General features: G+C 38.7%; 1 protein-coding gene across 6 annotated transcripts in view; it reads right to left on the reverse strand.

Annotated features, from left to right (window-relative positions):
- Positions 1 to 7,169: 7,169 nt before the first annotated feature.
- The window catches only part of WASHC3 (WASH complex subunit 3), a 49,285-nt gene continuing 35,771 nt past the window's right edge, over positions 7,170 to 20,683 (reverse strand). For 4 of the 6 annotated variants that reach the window (XM_024448998.2, XM_017019383.2, NM_001301107.1 and 1 more), the window contains 2 exons: positions 20,304 to 20,368; positions 7,170 to 7,522 (listed from right to left, as the gene is read on the reverse strand). In XM_024448998.2, coding sequence (XP_024304766.1) covers positions 7,438 to 7,522; positions 20,304 to 20,368 — 150 coding nt within the window. In that variant the 3' untranslated portion in view covers positions 7,170 to 7,437. Of the gene's footprint in view, positions 7,523 to 13,606; positions 13,702 to 20,303; positions 20,369 to 20,683 lie in introns of those variants that run through there. The other 2 variants (XM_047428921.1, XM_011538423.2) reach the window with 1 other exon arrangement.

The following is a 20,683-nucleotide window of genomic DNA, read 5'->3' on the forward strand; positions in this document are numbered from 1 at the left end:
GAGTGAGACTCTGAGACCTGGGATGAGACAATTCGAGTGCATGTGCTTGAGGATCTTGAGTCACTGATTTCTTCTGAACCCTCCATGCCAACCAAAGGAGCTATTTCTCCCACCCTAGAGGAGAGCAACCTCCCCTTACCTGGAGACCATGTGAAGTGTTTGTCTGAGGTGGATGGCTTGTAAAATGACTCCTGTCTCTTCAAGATCTAATTCTGCCTTCCCCGACTGCTTTTAGATTAACTAATCTCAGAATTCAGCTGAGAAGAAAAATATAGTCCTTGAGCTGGGAAGAAATAGCTTATTTACTGAAAGAATTTTAGGTACTGGCTAATAAGTACTGGCAGTAAGTTGGAGAATATGAGTGAAGATAAGTCTTGTGTGGGCTGGACCAGAGAGGCAGAATATAAGGCTGGATAGAGGAGAGTTTACTGACACAGGAGCACTCTCTTATGACTAAAGATATAGTATCTCATCTTTATGACACATGAGCTGGTCTTAACAGGCTGTTGGGGTGGCTTCTTGAGACTTCGTCATGATGGCCTACACTAAATGAGGCAGGAATGCTGGAAATGCCTTATCAAAGTGAAGAAGAGGTCAGAGGCAGAGAGAGGTGGATATGTTGATTGCATTTATTTAATGACAAGAGAGCAAATGTACCATTTTTCCCAGGAAGGGCCCAGAGAACACTCTCTTGATTAAGATAATAAAGGATGTCACTGAGGGTGACATCAACATCTTTGATAAAATCATCAGAAGCTGTACCCAACAGGCCAGGATTCACAGTAGGATATGATGCTGTAGAACTGGGCTCTTTAGTACTAATTGAGATGATAGGATTCCTTAATGGCAGGAGGCAGGTAGTGGCATTCAACCATCGGCAGCAAAGTGACAGCAAGCCTGAAGTAAATGCTACCTATGTTACCAGGAGTATATATGGTGAACGTTCACCCAATCTTTCTTCAAAGGACTTTAAACCACTTAGCAAAGTGAAACAAGTGGAATACCCAATCCTCTCAAAGGTTGTTGTATAAGGGCTCAGTTAACTTGATATCAAGTGATCTAAAATGTCCTCATTGTCCCTCAAATAGAGTGGAGGCTATGGATACCAGGTAATAGATGGAGTTTGGGCTCCAGTCCATTTCACAGTATTTTCAATTGCTCCAGTGGGGTCCCTCTGATTGTTTCCCTGGTCTCTAGTGCATACCTGGGATAAATATTCTTAAAAGCTTCTCGTGAGCTTCCTGACCTATGGGAAAAAAAAAATCCATTGTGGTAGGGAGGATCAAGTGAAAAATCCCTAAAATTGTACCTTCCTTATCCCAGCCAAGATAGCAAACCAGAAACAATATTGCATTCTGAGTGGAATTTTTGAGATTAGCACCACTTCCAAAGACTTAAAGGATGCAGAGGTAGCATCCTCTGCATTTACCAGTATGGCATCTGCCATGGTGGAAGACAAGGGAATATTATCAACTTAATAAAGTGATAGTGCCAATCATGTCTACCATGTCAAGCATGGTACCTTTCCTGGAACATATCAACACAGCCTCTGCATGATATGTGGCTGTTGTTCTGACAAACATTTTTTCAATCATTAGGAATATCAAGTGTTTATATGGAAAGGATAGCAATACGTATTAACTTGATTGCCCCAGAACTATGTTAGCTCTCCTGCTCTCTCTCATAGTGTAGTCTTTTTTTTTTTTAATTTTTATTTATTTATTTTTTTTTTGAGACAGAGTCCTTGTCACCCAGGCTGGAGTGCAGTGGTGCCATCTCGGCTCACTGCAACCTCCACCTCCCGGGTTCATGCGATTCTCCTGCCTTAGCCTCCTGAGTAGCTGGGACTACAGGCACACATCACCATGCCTGGCTAATTTTTGTATTTATAGTACAGACAGGTTTTCACCATGTTGCCCAGGGTGGTCTCGAACTCCTAACCTCAAGTGATCCACCTGCCTTGGCCTCCCAAAGTGCTGGGATTACAGGTGTGAGTCACCGTGCCTGGCCCACGGTGTAGTCTTCAGGGATTTTGTTCATTCTCACATTACACAGAACCTTGTGTTGATCCTCTATACTGATAACATCAGCTGCATCTATCTGGTAAACAGAAAGCAGAAAGAACTCTTGGTGTTCTATAAGATGCACACCAGCCAGAGGATGGAAGATTCAGATCCCTACAGCTTTTAGAGATCCAGTAGTCTGGAAGGTGCTGGGACATCCCTTCCAAAGTAAAGGACAGATTAGTGAACTTTCACCCTTTACCGGTAAGAAAGAGACACAGCATGTTGGGGACTTCTGCTTTTGAAAGCATCATACACTTTCTCAGGAATACAGCTCTGAATTGGAAGACTACATGCTTTATGTGGGGCCCAGAACAAGAGAGGGCTCTGCTGCAGGATCAGGCTATGATATAAGTTGCCCTCCTCCTTGAACTATATGGCTCAGATTACCCATTGATGATAGAGATGTCTATGGTAGATATGAAGATTGTGTGGCATGTCTAGTCAGCCCTAATAGAAGATTAATAGCACAGACCCTTTGCTTCTGGAGCAAAGGTCTTGCCTTCTTGTTGTTTGAAAAGCAACACCTAGCATGTGCCCAGTAGAAGCTGAGAATCTGACTATATATGATATCAAGTGATTAACTGAGCTGCCCATCATAAGCTGGGTTTTATCAGATACACCATAAAGCCACCTAGTCACAGTAGCAATCCATTATTCAATGGAATTATATGTTTGGGATGAAGCCTATAAAAGTCAATAAGGCACATGTAAGTTACATGGACAAGTGACCTATCATTTATTTCCCATATCATTTACATCTCTTAACACTAATGCCTATTCTTCAACCTACTTGTATGATCTCATGCAGAATCTTCAATGGTCAACTGTATCAGTTATTTATTGCTACAATTATGTGGTAACAACCAAGAACAATAAAAAACTGTAAGATAATCAACAGTGAGCATTTATTATTCACATCCACAGCCAGCTGAGAATTGGCTAGGTAGGTCTTCCAATCTTGGCTGGTCTTGCTCATGTCTTGGGTTGGCTGATATATGAATGGAACAACTCATCTCTGCTCCATGCATCTTTCATCGTCATTAGACTATCCAAGTCAAGTTCTTATGTCAATAACAGAGCCACAAGAGAAGGCAAGACCAACCAAGTATTTGTCAAGCCTCTGCTTGGATCACATTTGTTAATATTCCATTGGCTAAGTTCAGAATCCAAAGTTAAGGCCAAATGCTCTACTCAGAGGGGGAGGGCAATGCAAATATATAGCAAAAGGCATGCAATAGGGAGAAAGTGAATAATTGAAGCTACTTTTGCAATATTATCTCACTAGCTGACAGCAAACAGTGGACCTTGTTGATGCATGGACAAGCTTGATATATATTGGTGTAGGCAAAAATGGCTTGCTGCCACACTGCTGCCTCTGACAGAGGTGGCTCTAACAATTAGTGGTGAGGAAAATAATCTTCCTGATGGACAGAGCTTCAAACAGTACACTTTGTCATGATGTTGCTGAAGAAGCACATGGCCTGAGTTAAATACTACAGACTTTTGATCTTGGTAACTGGTTTGGCTGGTCAGGGATAAGAAGGGAGCAATATTGGAAGATTAGAGAAAGTGAGATTTAAGGATGAAGAATGTGGACAAAACTATGGGAATGTGTCCAAAGTGTGGAGATTTTTGTAGGATGAAATGCCAGAAAGAAAACACTCACCTGAGGAGGCAAAAATTAGGTGGACAAGATGATTTCTCCAGTAGATGTCAGCCAGCCTTGTCCTTGATTGCCCCAGGTTATACAATGAGCCCACAAATGGAGTAATCGTGGCAGCAGAGATGCCGGCTATGCTTGGGCCCAACAGCTTGGGCTTCCACACTAATGCTCATCTAGTGATGAGCTAGATGAGCTAGGATTCAGCTACTGCTGAATACCCTATTTGTCGGCAGCAGAGACCAATGATTTGGTACTATTCCTTGAAGAGGTTAACCAGTCACTTGGGAGCAATTTATTTGCATTAAATTCCTTCCACCCTGGAAGAGGAGTAATTCTTTCTTATTGTAATTAATTACTACTCTTAATAGGGGCTTTCCTTTCCTTCCAGCAGCACCTCTGCCAGCATTACCCTCTGATAGCCTACAGGATGTCTATTACCAACATGGTATCTCGCATTACACTGCCTCAGATCTTGGGATTATTTTGTAGTAAATGACTAACAACAGGCGCATGAATTGTTGGATCCACTTGTCTTACCGCATACAGCATCATCCAGAAGAAATCAATCAAATAGAACAATGAAATGGTCTATTATAGGCTCATTGTAGTCACCATCTCAGAGATGACATTCTGCAAGGTTGAAGTGCTAATCTCTAGGATGTGGTAAAAGCACTACAAAAATGGCTAGCATATGATGCCATGTCCTCAGCTGCCAGGATTCACAGATCCAGGAACCAAGAGAAAAGAAATAGGAATGATCCTTCTCCACCATTCTCAGTGACATTCTTTTGTAATTGTGCTTCCCATCCCTGCCGCCTCAGACTTTCCTGGAAGTCCCAGTTCCCAGATGGGGTAGGGGGAAGGAACTAGCACACTTCCATGGGGGAGCACAGTAAGGATTCCACTAAGCTGAATCTACTGCTGCCAATCGGTCCCTTGGGACTGCTCATGTCTGTGGGACAAAAATAGGAAGTAATATGTTAACATGAGGAGCTAGGGTTGTGATTACAAAATGAAACAGGAAGAATGTGTCTAGAACGCAGGTGGTTCACTGGGGCATGTCGTGGTGCTTCAGTGCCTGGTAAGAAACAGCAAACAGATGACTGTGATAATCATAGCCTAAACAGGGCAAAGCAATCAAAGCCCTAGAAAACTTAAAGGATGAAGGTCTGGGTCACTATGCTTGACAACCAGCCTAGACCAGCGGAATTTCTGATATAGAGCAGGAGAAATGTAAAATGGGTGGTGGAAGAAGATGATAAGTACCAGTTTTGGCCTTGCGTTCAGTCATAGTGACAGTAATTGTGGCTTGTCTCACTAATCTTCATGTGTAGATTTTAGAAAGACTGTGGCTGGCCATCACCTTGTGTTATCCCACAGACAAAAGACAAAGTAGACTTAACATGGGACTCAATCAGTTCTGAATTGACTGCATTTGGGTAGACTGCAGCAAATATCTCTTTTGCACATTCCCTCGTCCACTTCCGGTATCAGTCACAGCTACATGGATAGTTCTAGGTGAGTAAGCTTGGACTTGTCCTTTCTGCTTGTGAAATCCCACTGCAAGCCGAAGCCATGTATCTTTCTGCTTCCTGTTCCAAGTCTTTCTTCAACACTGGGGTGCTGCTTTTCCACACAGAAGCACAGCCCAGAAGTGCAGGGATAATTAATGCCCCTGGAGGCAACTCAACTAACGGGGGATGGAAATTGCTTAATTAATGTTCCCAGTTTTATTAGGTGGAAAATTTTGGGAGGCATTCTGAAAGCTTCTCAGAGGGTCTTGGAGCACTCAAACCCCAACTGGCAATCTTGATAACATACTTCTTAAATTTTTTATTATTTTTGAGAGAGTCTCACTCTATCACCCAGGCTGGAGTGCAGTGGTTCCATCTGGGCTCACTGCAATCTCCACCTCCTGGGTTCAAGTGAGTCTCCTGCCTCAGCCTCCCAGTAGCTGGGAGTACAGGTGCATGCCACCACGCCCGGCTAAATTTTGTATTTTTAGTAGACACAGGGTTTCACCATGTTGGCCAGGCTGGTCTCAAACTCCTGACCTCAAGTGATCCACCTACCTCAGCATCCCGAAGTGCTGGGATTACAGGTATGAGCTACCTCACCTGGCCGATAATAAACTTTTAAGTGGTTTTCTCCCTTTTCCTCTCCCTGTTTTTTTACTTCTGTTTTCTGGGATCACCTTGTGAATGACCTGTATACACCCAAGTCCTTTTCTCAGGCTCTACTTGCAGGTGAACTAAACTAAAATGGGCACAATTAGTTAAATGCATTTATATATTTTTCACATAAGTACTTTAGGAATTTTCTAGACTGTGTGTAAATAACTATGAATAATAATTATTTATTTGCAAGGTGAGGTGAGAACATTTTAATCCTGCACACATTTTTTTTTGTTTAGGTAATACAGGAGTTGATGGCAACGATGGTTACTCATTATGAACCACACTGAAACGACCTTCAATTCAATTTCCATCTGCTAATAAATATAGTCAAGTGCTGCATAATGTTTTGGTCAACATCCCCTAAGATTATAAAACCATATTTGACTGCACCTTTTCTACATTTAGATACACAAATACCACTGTGTTACAACTGCCTACAGTATTCAGTACAGTGACATGCTGTGCAGGTTTGTAGCCTAGAAGCAATAGGTTTGTGTAAGTACACTTGTTATGAAATCCACAATGTTTGTACAATAAAACCGCCTAATGACGCATTTCTCAGAACATATCCCTGTTGTTAATCAATGCATGACTGCATAAGAATATCTGACTTAAAAAACACATGAACTAATGGCCAAGTGGTGAAAGGCTGCATATGCTAAAAAATACTACCAAAAAGTTCCATACCCATAACATATGTGATATGTAAGTTTTAAGTTGTCAAAGAAATTTCAACCCAGTATTACTTTCTACCAGAAATGTCTTTAACAACTCATGATATGAATCCATATACTTTTCATGCTAAAATATTCACAAAAATTGAATAATTCACTTAGCCAAATTCACTGTTTTTTTTTTTTTTTTGCATTGGGTCTACTATTGATCACTAAACTCACACTGACTTCATTTAAAATTGCTCATTGCATCTCTTTTTATTTTTAAGACAGAGTTTCACTCTTGTCGCCATGGCTGGAGTGCAATGACGCAATCTCAGCTCACTGAAACCTTTACCTTCTGGGTTCAAGTGATTCTCCTGCCTCAGCTTCCCGAGTAGCTGGGATTACAGGCACCTGCCACTACGCCCAGCTAATTTTTGTCACCACGCCCAGCTACTTTTTGTATTTTTAGTAGAGATGGAGGTTTCACCATGTTGGCCAGGCTGGTCTTGAACTCCTGACCTCAGGTTATCCACTCGCCTCGGCCTCCCAAAGTGCTGGGATTACAGGCGTGAGCCACCGTGCCTGACTGTAATTGCTCATTGCATCTCTAAAATATTCTATCTTAGTATTTGTAGCACTAATTGTACTTTATTTAGGTTATCCTATTTTTCATTTTGAGGCCCTTTATTTTAGCAACAAGACATACTGGCAGGTTAAAACTGCTTTATTATTATTTTTTTAACATAGAAGAAGCTTGGTAGTGGACATGTGGCCATTTGATGTTTTTATGACTAAGAGAGTTCAGGCTCAATCTCTTACAGAATGTAAATGTACCCCTATGCATGCATATGTAATTCTTATCAAAATTAAGCTTAATCACTAAAAGAAGATTCGCTATCTGAACTTTCTTCTACAGTTTTCTCACTTTCGCCATCAGGCACTGGAGCATCTGGCCTCCTAAAAGAAAAGAAAAAAAAATTTCAAAGGTCTTTTCCAATTGAAAAGAGCACTTACAAACTCTTAAATTTGGTTCATCTTAGAATATTGCTGCTAATAAATCTGCCAAGTCCGTGTCCTCAGTCTCCTGCTCTACACCACAGCGTGCTTCTCTCGGGCTTCTTGGGCACCATGGGGATTCAATGCTATGCCTGTAGAGGCCGCGACAGTATTTTCTCTTGCCAGTCCTTACATAGTGCGCTACTTCAGCACTTTCTGCTTCTCATTACCATGGAGACCCAATTATAGACAGAGATGTGATCTGTAGAGGCTGGCATGACCAGTGCTAAGTCCCTGAAGCTTCCAAGTGTACATGAGGTACAGAGAAAGGAAAGCTAGAAATGAAAAGAAAAGGAAATGCTTCATGTTCAGGAAAGCTGCAGGGAGAAACTTAGAAATGGAAGAGAGTTCAAAAATGGCTAATAAAAAAATAGGTAATGTGGAAATTTTGTAGCGAAGGAGAGTGCCTGGTCGAAGAAGGTTCTTAATGTTTGTTAAACGTTTTCACTTACATGTTTTATCTTTACAGAATGAAAATAGAAAGTATGAGTTGGCAAAAATACTGTTTCAAAGATCCCCTAGGCATTATAAGGAGACATGAGAATGGTTAGATTCCAACTTTGCATGGATGTGCTCTAATAAACCAAAATGAAATTTTAATGATGTTATTAAAACAGTCAACTAGTTAAGCCTCAATAGTTTTGTGCCAGTAAGTCATTTAATCAGTGTAGTGGCATTATCACTTAGCCTCTATTCACTCTTACCAAGAAAGTAAATTAAGCAAGAAAAGTATTTTTGGGGGGGAAACCAAGAGGAAAAGGAGTAACAATATAACTGCTACATCTTTTTTTTTTTTTTTTTTTTTTTTTGAGATGGAGTCTCGCTCTTGTCACCAGGCTGAAGTGCAATGGTGTGATCTCGGCTCACTGCAACCTCTGTCTCCCAGGTTCAAGCCATCCTCTTGCCTCAGCCTCCCGAGTAGAGGTGTGTGCCACCACGCCCAGCTAATTTTTGTATTTTCAGTAGAGACGGGATTTCACCATGTTGGCCAGGATGGTCTTGATCTCCTGACCCTGTGATCCACCCGCTCTGGCCTCCCAAAGTGCTGGGATTATAGATGCGAGCCCGTGCCTGGCCTATAACTGCTGTATCTTAATAATTACAAACTACCAGACTGATTTCTCCCTCAGGCTTGACTCTTATTAAACATTTAGGACACTTAAAAATAAAACTCATATTCACCACAAACAGAAATTACTATTACTAAAATAAGAAAATGCACAGTCTAACAGTTACTTTAGGTATTAAAATTATGGCTTATATTTTTAAATATATTTGGCATACTACAAAAGAGAAAATAATGCTGGCATTGCTCCCTAGTTGTCAAATATAAACCCATTTGCTCTGCTGAACAATTTTAGATTATATCTACAAGGAAGCATTATGTAGTCAATACAGTGAAACTTTAAAGCTGGGTACAGCAGTTCCAGGATTTGACTGATGCTCCATCTGCCTAAAATACTAACATGGGACCATCATCTTCCTCCCTTTTCATTAGAAGCAACAACTCTAGAATTAGTGGGTATGAATACTAGGCACATTTTACCCAGTAAATTTCTCTTTGCTATATATTTGATTTCTTACTGTCTATACTTTGTTAAGTAGGAAAACATTACCAGTGGGAATTATTTTAATACCACATCAAAATTGTATTAGTACCTATGACAACTCAAACAAATACAACAATGTACATAACTTCCTAAAATAAATGCTACTTTAGAAAAGGGTAGGCCAGGGATGTCGATTCATGCCTGTAATCCCAGCACTTTGGGAGGCCGAAGAGGGCGTTTTGCTTGAGCCCAGCAGTTCAAGACCAGCCTGGGCAACAGGGCAAAACACCATCCTTTGCAAAAAAATAGAGAAATTAGCCAGTAGTGGCCTACTGTGCCAGCTACTTTGGAGGCTGAGGTGTATCACTTGAGCCTGGGGGCAGAGGCTGCAGTAAGCTGTGACCATGCCTGGGCACTCCAATCTGGGCAACAGAGTGAAACCCTGTCTCAAAAAAAAAAGGAAAAGGGTAAAAGCAGCTTAGGACCAGAAGAAACTGAAACTATAAAATTCATTAATTTATGTGTGTAACCATTTATTGATACATGTGATGCTATATTACATAGTAACTAAGAATATAGGCTCTGGGTACAGACTGTGCTAAAATCCCATCCTTGTTTCTTACTTGTTGGCCAACTTTGGGGAAGCTATTTAACTACTTTGTGTCTGACTGATTGATTGGATTTTGTGATGATTAAATTAATTAATAAATGTAAAGTGTGTTCGATAATATCTGGCACATAGTATCAGATAAATATTATCTGCTGTTATTATGATGATTTATTTTCATCATCATGCATCTACTATTTGCTAGAAAATGTGTTAGGTACTGGAGATACAGAGATGAATAACAAGTAGTTCCTTCCCTGAAGCAGCTAAAATTTTTGTGAGGGAGACAGAAATGCAAACAAATTGTTACAGAATGTGAGACAGCCATGTGCCACATAATGATGTTTCAATCAGTGATGAACTGCATAGGACGGTGGTCCCATTAGATTATAATGGAGCTGAGAAACCTCTATCGCCTAGTATTTACTATACTGTACTTTCTGTTATTTTATTTTATTTGACCAGAAGTCTCATTCTGTTGCCCAGTCTGGAGAGTAGTAGTGTGATCTCGGCTCACTGAAACCTCTGCCTTCTGGGTTCAAGAGATTCTCCTGTCTCAGTCTCCTGAGTAGCTGAGACTACAGGCATGCGCCACCACCCCTGGCTAATTTTTTTACTTTTGGTAGAGAGCGGGTTTCACCATGTTGGCCAGGCTGGTCTTGAACTCCTGACCTCAAGTGATCCATCTGCCTCAGCCTCCCAAAGTGCTGGGATTACAGGCGTGAGCCACAGCGTCCAGCCTCTGTTGTTATTTCATTTTATTTTATATTTTTTTCAACAGAGTCTTGCTCTGTCACCCAGGCTAGGGTGCAGTGGTGCAATCTTGGCTCACTGCAATCTCTACCTCCAGGGTTCAAGCCATCCTCCTGCCTCAGCCTCCTGAGTAGCTGGGATTACAGGCATGCACCACCATGCCCAGCTAATTTTTGTATTTTTAGTAGTGATGGGGTTTCTCCATGTTGGCCAGGCTGGTCTCGAACTCCTGACCTCAGGTGATGCACCTGCCTCAGCCTCCTAAAGTGTTGGGATTACAGGTGTAAGCCACTGTGCCTGGCCTCTGTTGTTATTTTAGAGGGTACTCCTACTTACTTTTTGAAAAAAAAGTTAACGTTAAACAGCCTCAGGGAGGTCCTTCAGGAGATATTCCAGAAGAAGGCATTGTTACAATAGAAAATAGCAGATTCATGCCTGTTATTGCCCCTGAAGACCTTTTAGTCAGACAGGATATGGAGAACAGTCATATTGATGATCCTGACATGACTAGGCCTTGTATGTGTTTTAGTTTTTGGCAAAGAAGTTTAAGAAGTCAAAATAAAAAGTTCATAGAATAAAGATATAAAGAAAGAAAATATTTTTGTATAGCTGTAAAATTTATGACTTGTCTTTTAAGCTAAGTAGTATTACAAAATAGTTAAAAAGGTAAAAAGTTGATAAAGTTATAGTAAGCTAAGGTTAATTTATTATTGAAAAAATTTTTAAAAATAAATTTAGTGTAGTCTAAGTGTACAGTGTTTATGAAATTTACAGTGGTGTATAATAACATCCTAGGCCTTCATATTCACTCCCTATTCACTCACTAGGTGACCAGAGCAACTCCAGTCCTGAAAGCTCCATTCATGGTAACTGCCCTATGCAGGTACCATTTTTCACTTTTTATACAGCATTTTTACTGTACTTTTTCTATGTTTAGATATGCTTAGATACACAAATACTTGTCATTGTGTTACAATTGCCTACAGTATTTGGTATAGTAATATGCTGTACAGGTTTATAGCCTAAGTGTGTAGTACGCTATACCATTTAGGCTTGTGTAAGTACACTCTATGACGTTTGCACAATGACAAAATCACCTACAATGCATTTCTTGTAACATATCCCTGTCCTTAAGCGATGCACGGCTGTATATATACAAATAAGGCTGAACTGTTTGTGTGAAAAGAAAAAATAGTCTGCTGAAGTCGGTCAGAGAAGACTCCAAATAGTTGGAAACACTTGCGAAGAGTTTTGTGATTCGAGTAAGACTTTGCCAGAAACAGAGAAGGCGGAAATAAAAGAGAATGACAGCATTCTGGGTAAAGAATAAAATGGGATGGTGTAGCAGGCTGCATTCAGAAACTGTAAGTCATTTGTTAGTTAGAGTGTAAAGTACACTGGGGTGCAACAGTAGATGAGATTAGAACATCTAGCAGGAGCAATAGGTGGAAACTCTCTTTAACCTTCCGAGGAACTGCCAAACTTTTCCACAGCAGCTGTACCATTTTACATTTGTACCTGCAATGTATGAGGGTTCCAATTTCTCCACACCGTCAGCAACACTTGTTATTGTCTGTCTTCATTTTTTTCTTTTTTTAATTTTTCTTATTGTAAAATACAGATAACATAAAATTTAATATTGTAACCATTTTTAAGTATACGGTAGTGTTTAGTACATTCACATTGTTGTACAACCATCATCACCATCCATCTCCTGAACTCTCTTCATCTTGCAAAACTGAATCTCTGTACTCATTTAATAACATTCCCTTATCCGTCCAGCTGCTGACAACCACTATTCTTTCTGTCTCTATGAATTTGACTACTCTAGATGCCTCATACAAGTGGAATCATAAAATATTTGTCCTTCTGTGATAGGCTTATTTCATTTAGTACAATGTCCTAAAAGTCCATCTATGTTGTAGCATGTGTCAGAATTTCCTTCCTTTTTAAGGCTGAGTAATATTCCACCGTATGTATATACCATAATTGTTCCTATTCATCCACTGATGGATACTTACTTCCATTGCTTCTATCTTTTGGCTATTGTGAAAAATGCTGCTATGAACATGCGTATACAAATATCTCTTTGAGACTCTGCTTTCAATTCTTTTGGGTACATCCCCAAAAGTGGAAGTGCTGAATAATTCTATTTTTAATTTTTTAAGGGATCACAATACTCTTTTCTGTAGCAGCTGCATCATTTTATATTCCCACCAACAATGCACAGGGGCTCCAATTTCTTCATATCCTTACCAGTACTTATTGTCTTTGTTTGTTTATTTATTGGAGACAAGGTCTCATTCTGTTGCCCAGGCTGGAGTGCAGTGGCACGGTCAGAGCTCACTATAGCCTCAGCCTCCTGGGCTCAAGTGATCCTCCTGCCTTAGCCTCCCAAGTACTTGGGACTGCAGATACACTCTATCGCGCCTGGCTAATTTAACTTTTTGTAAAGATGAGGTCTCACTTTGTTGCCCAATCTGGTTTAGAACTCCTGGCTTCAAGTGATTCTCCACCCTTGGCCTCCCAAAGTGTTGAGATTACAGGCACGAGCCACTGCACCTGGCTCCTCATTCATTTTATTATTTATTTATTTATTTAGAGATGAAGTCTTATTTATTTATTTATTTATTTAGTGAGGCTGGAGTGCAGTGGCACCATCTTGGCTCACTCCAACCTCCACCTCCCAGGTTCAAGCAATTCTCCCTGCCTTAGCCTCCTGAGTAGCTGGTATTACAGGCGAGTGCCACCACACCCAGATAATTTTTGTATTTTTTAGTAGAGACAGGGTTTCGCCATGTTGGCCAGGCTGGTCTCGAATTCCTGACCTCAGGTGATCTGCTCGCCTCAGCCTCCCAAAGTGCTGGGATTACAGGCATGAGCCACCGCGGCTGGCCCCCTCATTCATGTTCAAAAAATTGGAATTGCCAGGAGAACAAAAGAAAAAGTGCATACTAGTTCTCTTTGGGTACAAAAAAGAAAAGCAAGCCACAAGAATCAAATGAGGTAATTTATAGGAAAGCATTTTATAAGTTGTAAAGCCTTATAAATATTACTAGTAATAATAAAACTCACAGCAATACCATCATTTCCAGGCGGGATATTCATATTTTCAAGGGGAACAGAAATTTGGCTCTGCATATTATGATCATAAATGTTCTTACTTCACCCTACAAGTTGTTTTTCATGGAAAGAAATTTTAAGACATATTTGAAAAAGTTGCTACCTTAAACTACTAAAGTTTAGCTTCTCCCAATTCAAAGAAAACACACTTTACTACTAAAATTTGGAAATTAGGACTTTATAATAGTCTCTTGTTATTTTAAATACATAAGTGAATTTCCAAAAAAGATTACATCAACAAAATACAGAAAAATATACATCATGAATATCATGTATATTTTTTAAAAATTTCAATCTTTGGTGGTTACAATAAAAACACTAGCTTGGTGGCTACATTTTAATAAGCATATTTATATTTGTGACACCAAAATTATCAGTAAAATTCTTAACAAAAGCAAATTTTTAAAAAGTTTAAGTTTAAGCTAATTACTAAGTCTAAACTATCTTAAAAATATATATCTTTTCAAAGAAGTTACTAGGTTGACCTCAACTAAAAATGAGCCAAAATATACAAAGGCGCAGCAGGAAGGACGAAGTATATACAAATCTGCCCTTTTTAGCATACCAGATGCTGTGCACATTCTAATTTTGACACCCGTTCTTCTCCCATTGATGTGAATCAATGAAGGTTGTCAACTAGAATCCTTGCTGTCCTCATCTTTTCCCTATCCACTTCCTTGTTTCAGTCACACAGTCTAGGCCTGGCCAATCACAGGAATCTATTCCCTTGGAGAGAGAGAGAGATGGATTCGAGGAAAGGCACACAATTCAAGCAGGGCTAGTCAGAATGTTTCCTTTTAAATGAACTATGGGTTATGGAGAAGAGGGAACTCTCTCTCTGTTCAACTGGAAAAACAGCAATATTAAAGCCTTGCTGGGGAGCTATGTTCCCAGGCTTCAGAGAGGAAACCCATTAGCACTAGGAGAGACACGGTTTATTACACCAAGGAAGTAAAGGTAGAATGAGGTGGGGAGAGGAGAATGCCAGTCAGCCAGCCCTGATGACACTGAGTCCCTAGATCCTGTCCTTACCTAGATTTTTCAGCTATGAGAGTCCATAACTTCCCTTCTTATATAAGCTAGTTTGAGTTGGTTTCTGCCATCCTAAATATGAAGAGAGTCCTAAAATACCATTATTGTTGGTTTAATTTGTTTTCATTAGAGGAAGATTTATATTTGTGTTTAAAACTAGCTACTTTAAGGACAGAAAAACCAAACATTCTTTGGAAAAACATGTATGATAAAGAGTTTAAAAACATTTTTCATTTTCTAGACACTTAAAGACACTGAATTTAAAGCAGATTAAGTAGCAAAAACATTGTCAGTAAAAATATTGCTGAATAGGAGATGATGAGGTAGTTATTATTCAAATCACTGATGGAAACTACACACACATAAAGTTATAAAGTCACATGGTACTGTTGTCAATTAATGGTCTGTCAGAGCTATGCGATGGCAATAGGTGGTCTTAAGAGAGTCAGGCGTGGTGGCTCACACCTGTAATCCCAGCACTTTGGGAGGCCGAGGTGGGTGGATCACCTGAGGTGAGGAGTTCGAGACCAGTCTGGCCAACATGGTGAAACCCTGTCTCTACTAAAAATATAAAAATTAGCCAGGCATGGTGGCATGTGCCTGTAATCCCAGCTACTTGGGAGGCTGAGGCAGGAGAATCGCTTGAACCCGGGAGGCAGAGGTTGCAGTGAGGTGAGATTGCACCACTGCACTCCAGCCTGGGCGACAAGAGCAAAATTCCATCTCAAAAAACAAAAACAAAAACAAAAACAAAAAACAAACAAAACACCAAAACACTAAGATTCTTGAACTGAGATTGTATTGACTTAATAAGAACCTCTGGGTAATTAAAAATGTAACAATTTTGATTTTGAATTATAGCAGCTAGTGAGATCAATTTGGTCTTTTCTCTTTTGAATTCTCATCAAGACAGGTATATTCTGTTCTTTGTCTTAGTAGGTAGACTCCTGCAACCAGGAAAACAATTTAATGCCTAATATCATGAAGAAAAAGAAAAGCAGCTGTTCTAGGTAGGATGGACTTTTGCTCTTGATCTTGGGATCCTTTATTTCCCAGCAGCAACTCTGTCACTTGCTTGCTAGCCACTCACAGACCACAACTGCTTTTTAACATCTCCTCTTTGATATATCTATTATCTCTCTCATTCTTATGATCAAGTTCTCTAAAAGCAGACCAATTACAATTTTTTGATATGGTTTTTATTTGTCCTATACTTTCTAGCTAGTGTCTGCCAGCTAATGAATGAGGACTGGTAATTACATTAAATGGAGAACCTAGCTCAGCAAAAACTAACAAAACGGAAACAGTAAAAACCCTATTTTTGGATGTCCAGTTGTGCAACTGAGATCTAATCTATCCTCAACCGGCCAAAACTCAACCTTTAATCCACTATGTTGTTGTATAGCAGGAGGTAAAGATCCTCCTGGCAGATAAGGAATGATCTTAGAGGGCAGGAAAATCTGCTGGGCATGCCATGTAAAAAAAGTTTTTTGCTTTCCAGTATCCTTTTGTTTAACAATAATAAATCCCCTCTTGTCTCAGTGATAAGTAGGCTAAGGTGGCTACTTTTATTTCTGGCAACTATAAGAGTGGTCATTCCACCATCTGGGAGGATGGTATAAATGTCTTTTGGATAGATATATCCAGGAGAAATGCCAACTGAGCTGGTTCTGTTCAAAGTCTGCAGAGTAACTTGAACTCAATTATATGCTTTCTTTAGCCAAATCAATAAGCTGCACACTGCACCCTCCCACTAAGGTTAGGAGTATGTTCAATTGAATTTCAATTTCAGAAATCTGTTCTTTACAGGAAAGTTAACAATATAGGTTCTCAGTTTGAGAAAACAATATAATTTAAAAAGATAACTACTCTGTATATGTTAAATATGTCTTTGTTGAGAACATAATAGTATATAGGCAACTACAGGATTATAAACAAGTTATGATCCAAAAGCCTGATAAATCCATTGCCTAGAATTTGCTACATATTCCTCCATTAAAACATTCATAAATCACAACTAATATTTATTAAACATTTACTGCTTATCCAGAGCTGTGCTGAGTGCTTACAACATTGTTTATCTTAGTCTGAACAACTCTGTAAGGGAGTGAACTCTTCTATTTCCCATTTTACTGATGAGAAAACTGATGCACAGAGAGGTTAGGTAATCAAACCAGGGTTACACAACTAGAAAGTGGCAAGTAATACAAGTAGGTAGACCATCTGAATACAAGTAAGTAGACCATCTCTAAAGCCGGCCTTATCCTGAGCCTTAACTATCATGAATTTCATGGCTTGCTGATGGGCAAGTCCAGAAGCTAGTCTGTTTATCCTAGAATTGTAAAAGTAGCAATTACTAGGTAACAACAGTAATGTTAGTTCAGGGACATAAATGTAAGTGTACAGACCAGGATGGGGTGAAACTTTTTTCTTTTTTTCTAAGCAAGAAAACCTAGGCAATGATTGAAAGAATATTTAAGGCGCGATATACCCATTCTATATTTCTGAATGTATTAACCTTTGGCCAAAGACCAATTAAAATTTTCCATTTTCCCCTTAACTCTTTTGAGTATTTTGGTGACAAATATTCTTTCACATATCTTTTTATCTCGGTGGTACTGAAATTAATTTTTAGAAGCTAAACAGGACTAATTCTTGGTTATATATAAATGATTATTTTCAAAAACTTGAATTTTTAAAAACAAACAATCACTTAGAAGAATCAAATCCAATATTTATTTAGTAATTATCAGGCATTTTCTACAGTTTTATAGAATTCCTAAAATTCTGTAATAGTCATTTTTCTAGGAAAATTGCCAGGATCTCTTCTCCCTTATCATGTAAATATTTTTGATTTAAAATTATGTACTCTCAGCTTCCAATTTTATACACATAAGCCAATCAACTATAAATATTTTTCTGATCAGTATTTATTTCTATATTAACCTCAGTTTTGCCCTTTGCTCAGTGCAGATAGAGGTAGGCCATTTCTTCCAACAGTTATATGAGTTTGTCTTACTACCTAAAGCTAATAAAAAATAAAGTGTATGTTTATACTTTAAAAGAAAAAAGAACACAGAACAATCTTTACTGAAAGTTCTTGGCTGAGGCTTAAAATGTACCTAAGATTCTAAATAAAAGTGTACTCTTCCCTTGGATGGCACATTTTCTTCTCTTTCATCATCTCATACTTTTCTCCTGAAGTGAGGCTCCGTAACTTTTATGTAAACATGATTCCAAAAGCATCATAATTCCTCTGTTAACACGGTAGTTGACTGCACTTATCACATCTAGCTAAATGCAGTTGAAACTGGGTTGCTAGTAGTGGTGATAGGTTACATTGAGTCACCCCCACTCCAACCAGTGCCCCTGGTGACCAATGGCATGTGCATATGAGGTAATGGGGCAGAATTCAGGCTCTAGGCTGTGGTTGAGGAGCAGCTTTTCTGTAAGACAATGTTAATTGTTACTGGAATTCTACCCTTAAACTTGGCACTACCTCACAACTGAATGTTTCTCAACATTCATAGACAACGAAATACCCTCAAACTGGCCAAGTGAGACACAAGGAAATGTTGAAGGGCCTGGGATCTTCCTCCGTGGTAGTTACCTATGGACTCTATCAGGTGGTGATACCTGATGGAGTCTTAAAGAATAATAGGTTAGCCAGGCCAGTAAGATGAGGGAAGGGAGTTCCACAGAGAGAAAGGAAAACATTTAACGACACCAAAAGGGAATAGGAAAATGTTACATTCAGGGAACTGCAAGTAGTTTGCTATGGCTATATGAAATAGGCATATGTGAAAGAATCACAAGAGAGGAAGCTAGTGAGAGAATCTGAATCTTGATGATAAAACCATTTCTATGCAATACTAAGATGTTAGACTACACGTTGAAGGCAGTGGAGAGTCACAGGAAGATGTGAAGCAAGAATGAAGTATGAAGAGATCCACTCAGGCTTTAGTGGATGGCTTGAAAGAGAACAGGAAAACCAATCAGTAGCTACTATAGTAATTCAGATTACAAACGATGAGGGCGTGAACTAAACGGCAATGGATATGGAGGCATATGGTGAGATGTGAGAGATATTAAAAATGAGAACATCATAGTGATTGACACTGTAGTGGGTAAGGAAGAAGACAGAATCAAGGATGATTATCAAGTTGCTAGTGCAGGTAGCTGGCTGAAGTAAAGGATTATGAAGTAGGTTTAGGCTGGACAGGGGATGAAATGAAGCCAGTAGCAGGTAAAAGGCTTGGATATCCAGCATATGCTGATGCTTATAGGGTGCTAGTTTTCCATTTATTATATTTTCTCTAGAAAAAGATAATCATTTTAAAGGTAATTTTAGCTCTCTGTTATTATAGGAGGTCTAACTGTGTATTTCCAGAAGCAAAAGGAGGTCACAGTTAATGTTAAATATATTTACAACCTATATATTGCAATGAATACCAAAATGGATTGAACCTATATGTCTGATTCACATTAAAATACATATCACAAGCCGTCTGGCTTTTAAAGTCTGTGTCAGGAACAATTTCCACAACAAATGCCAAATATCTCGGAGATGCTTCAGTTCAAGCTGCCAAGCTATGCCATTGTACTTGAACTGTTTGCTACTTGGATGTATGCCAAATGTAGATATATGTTTGAAATTTGTTCTTGTAGACTTTAAAAGAATTCATAAATTTCATATTTTGGCAGATAAAATATGAGAAAAAGACTACTTCATAATGTTTTACCTCCAAAGTGTACACATTTTCTTGGAGGACTGAGAGCCAAGAAAAATTCCAAAGTATACTGCTAGTACAGTAATGAATGCTTAGAGTGCACAGCTAAATACATTGGGGTGAACTACAGCCCCAAATTGGAAAGATTCTTTACAAGTACCTAGATACTTGCAAAACAGAATTCTTCTGAAGAATGCATTACGATATATTTTATCCAAGATGAACTATACAGCCAGATTTGCTTGGATGAAATAAACTGTTGTCAAATTTCTGAGCCACAATTTTTTTTTATCATTTCTCAAAAATATTTTATAAAATTCACACAATAAGGGATTAAATACTTTAAGGTTAAAAAAAACTCACATAAATTAGTATCTAGTTTCTTAATAACCATTAACATAGACCCAGAACAGCTTTAGCCTATTTATTTCTCAATCTGGCTTAACCTAGATTATAGCAGACTAAATTTCCTACAAACTAAGATCTTACATGAAATCATCTACCCCCTGGTACATAATAATCACCCCCCCACCAAAAAAGCACAAACCAACAAATAAACAAAAAAACAATCAAGCCAAGAAAGAGGTAGCACAAAAAGGAAAAAAAAAAAAAAAGCAAAAAAAATTGTCATTAAATTCCAGCTCCTTTGGATATCTAGAATAATTACTAATCTATTGAAACTGTTCCTAAAATGTGTAAAGGCTGGTCTTAGTAGAATATGATATTTTTCTGTTTGGTAACATAACAGACACACTATTTACAAAGATGATATCCTCAACCATAAAACACTGTAGGAATAAAAATACAGAGAATTTGAAATATTTTTATTATAACTGACAAATTCAATGTCCTGGCAATAATATCATTATATTAGAAGAATTACTTACTCAAGAAGATCTGGGTCTAGTCCTTCTGATATCATTTTGTTTCTTATTGCCATCACTGGTACACCCTAAGCAAAGGATATAAGATAATTTCATCATTAAAAATGTCTCCTTTATATGTCGACACATACCATCTAAAACAAGACCTTCAGATGCCTCATTATTTAAAAGTTCTTATTCTACTTTAAAATTAGCATGTGCCTAGCACTAGAATAATCTAGTAAAGTACCCATTTTACATTGACCTAACAGAATTAGTCTTATCCAATACCACATAAGCCCAAATTACATCATTTGAGCTTATTCATTACTAATTCTGCTGTATACAGAACAGAGATCATATTCTCACTCTTCTTATATCACCAAAAGAAAGAAAACATTACT

The sequence above is a fragment of the Homo sapiens genome, chromosome 12 (genome assembly GCF_000001405.40).
Source record: "Homo sapiens chromosome 12, GRCh38.p14 Primary Assembly".
Taxonomy (NCBI): domain Eukaryota; kingdom Metazoa; phylum Chordata; class Mammalia; order Primates; family Hominidae; genus Homo; species Homo sapiens.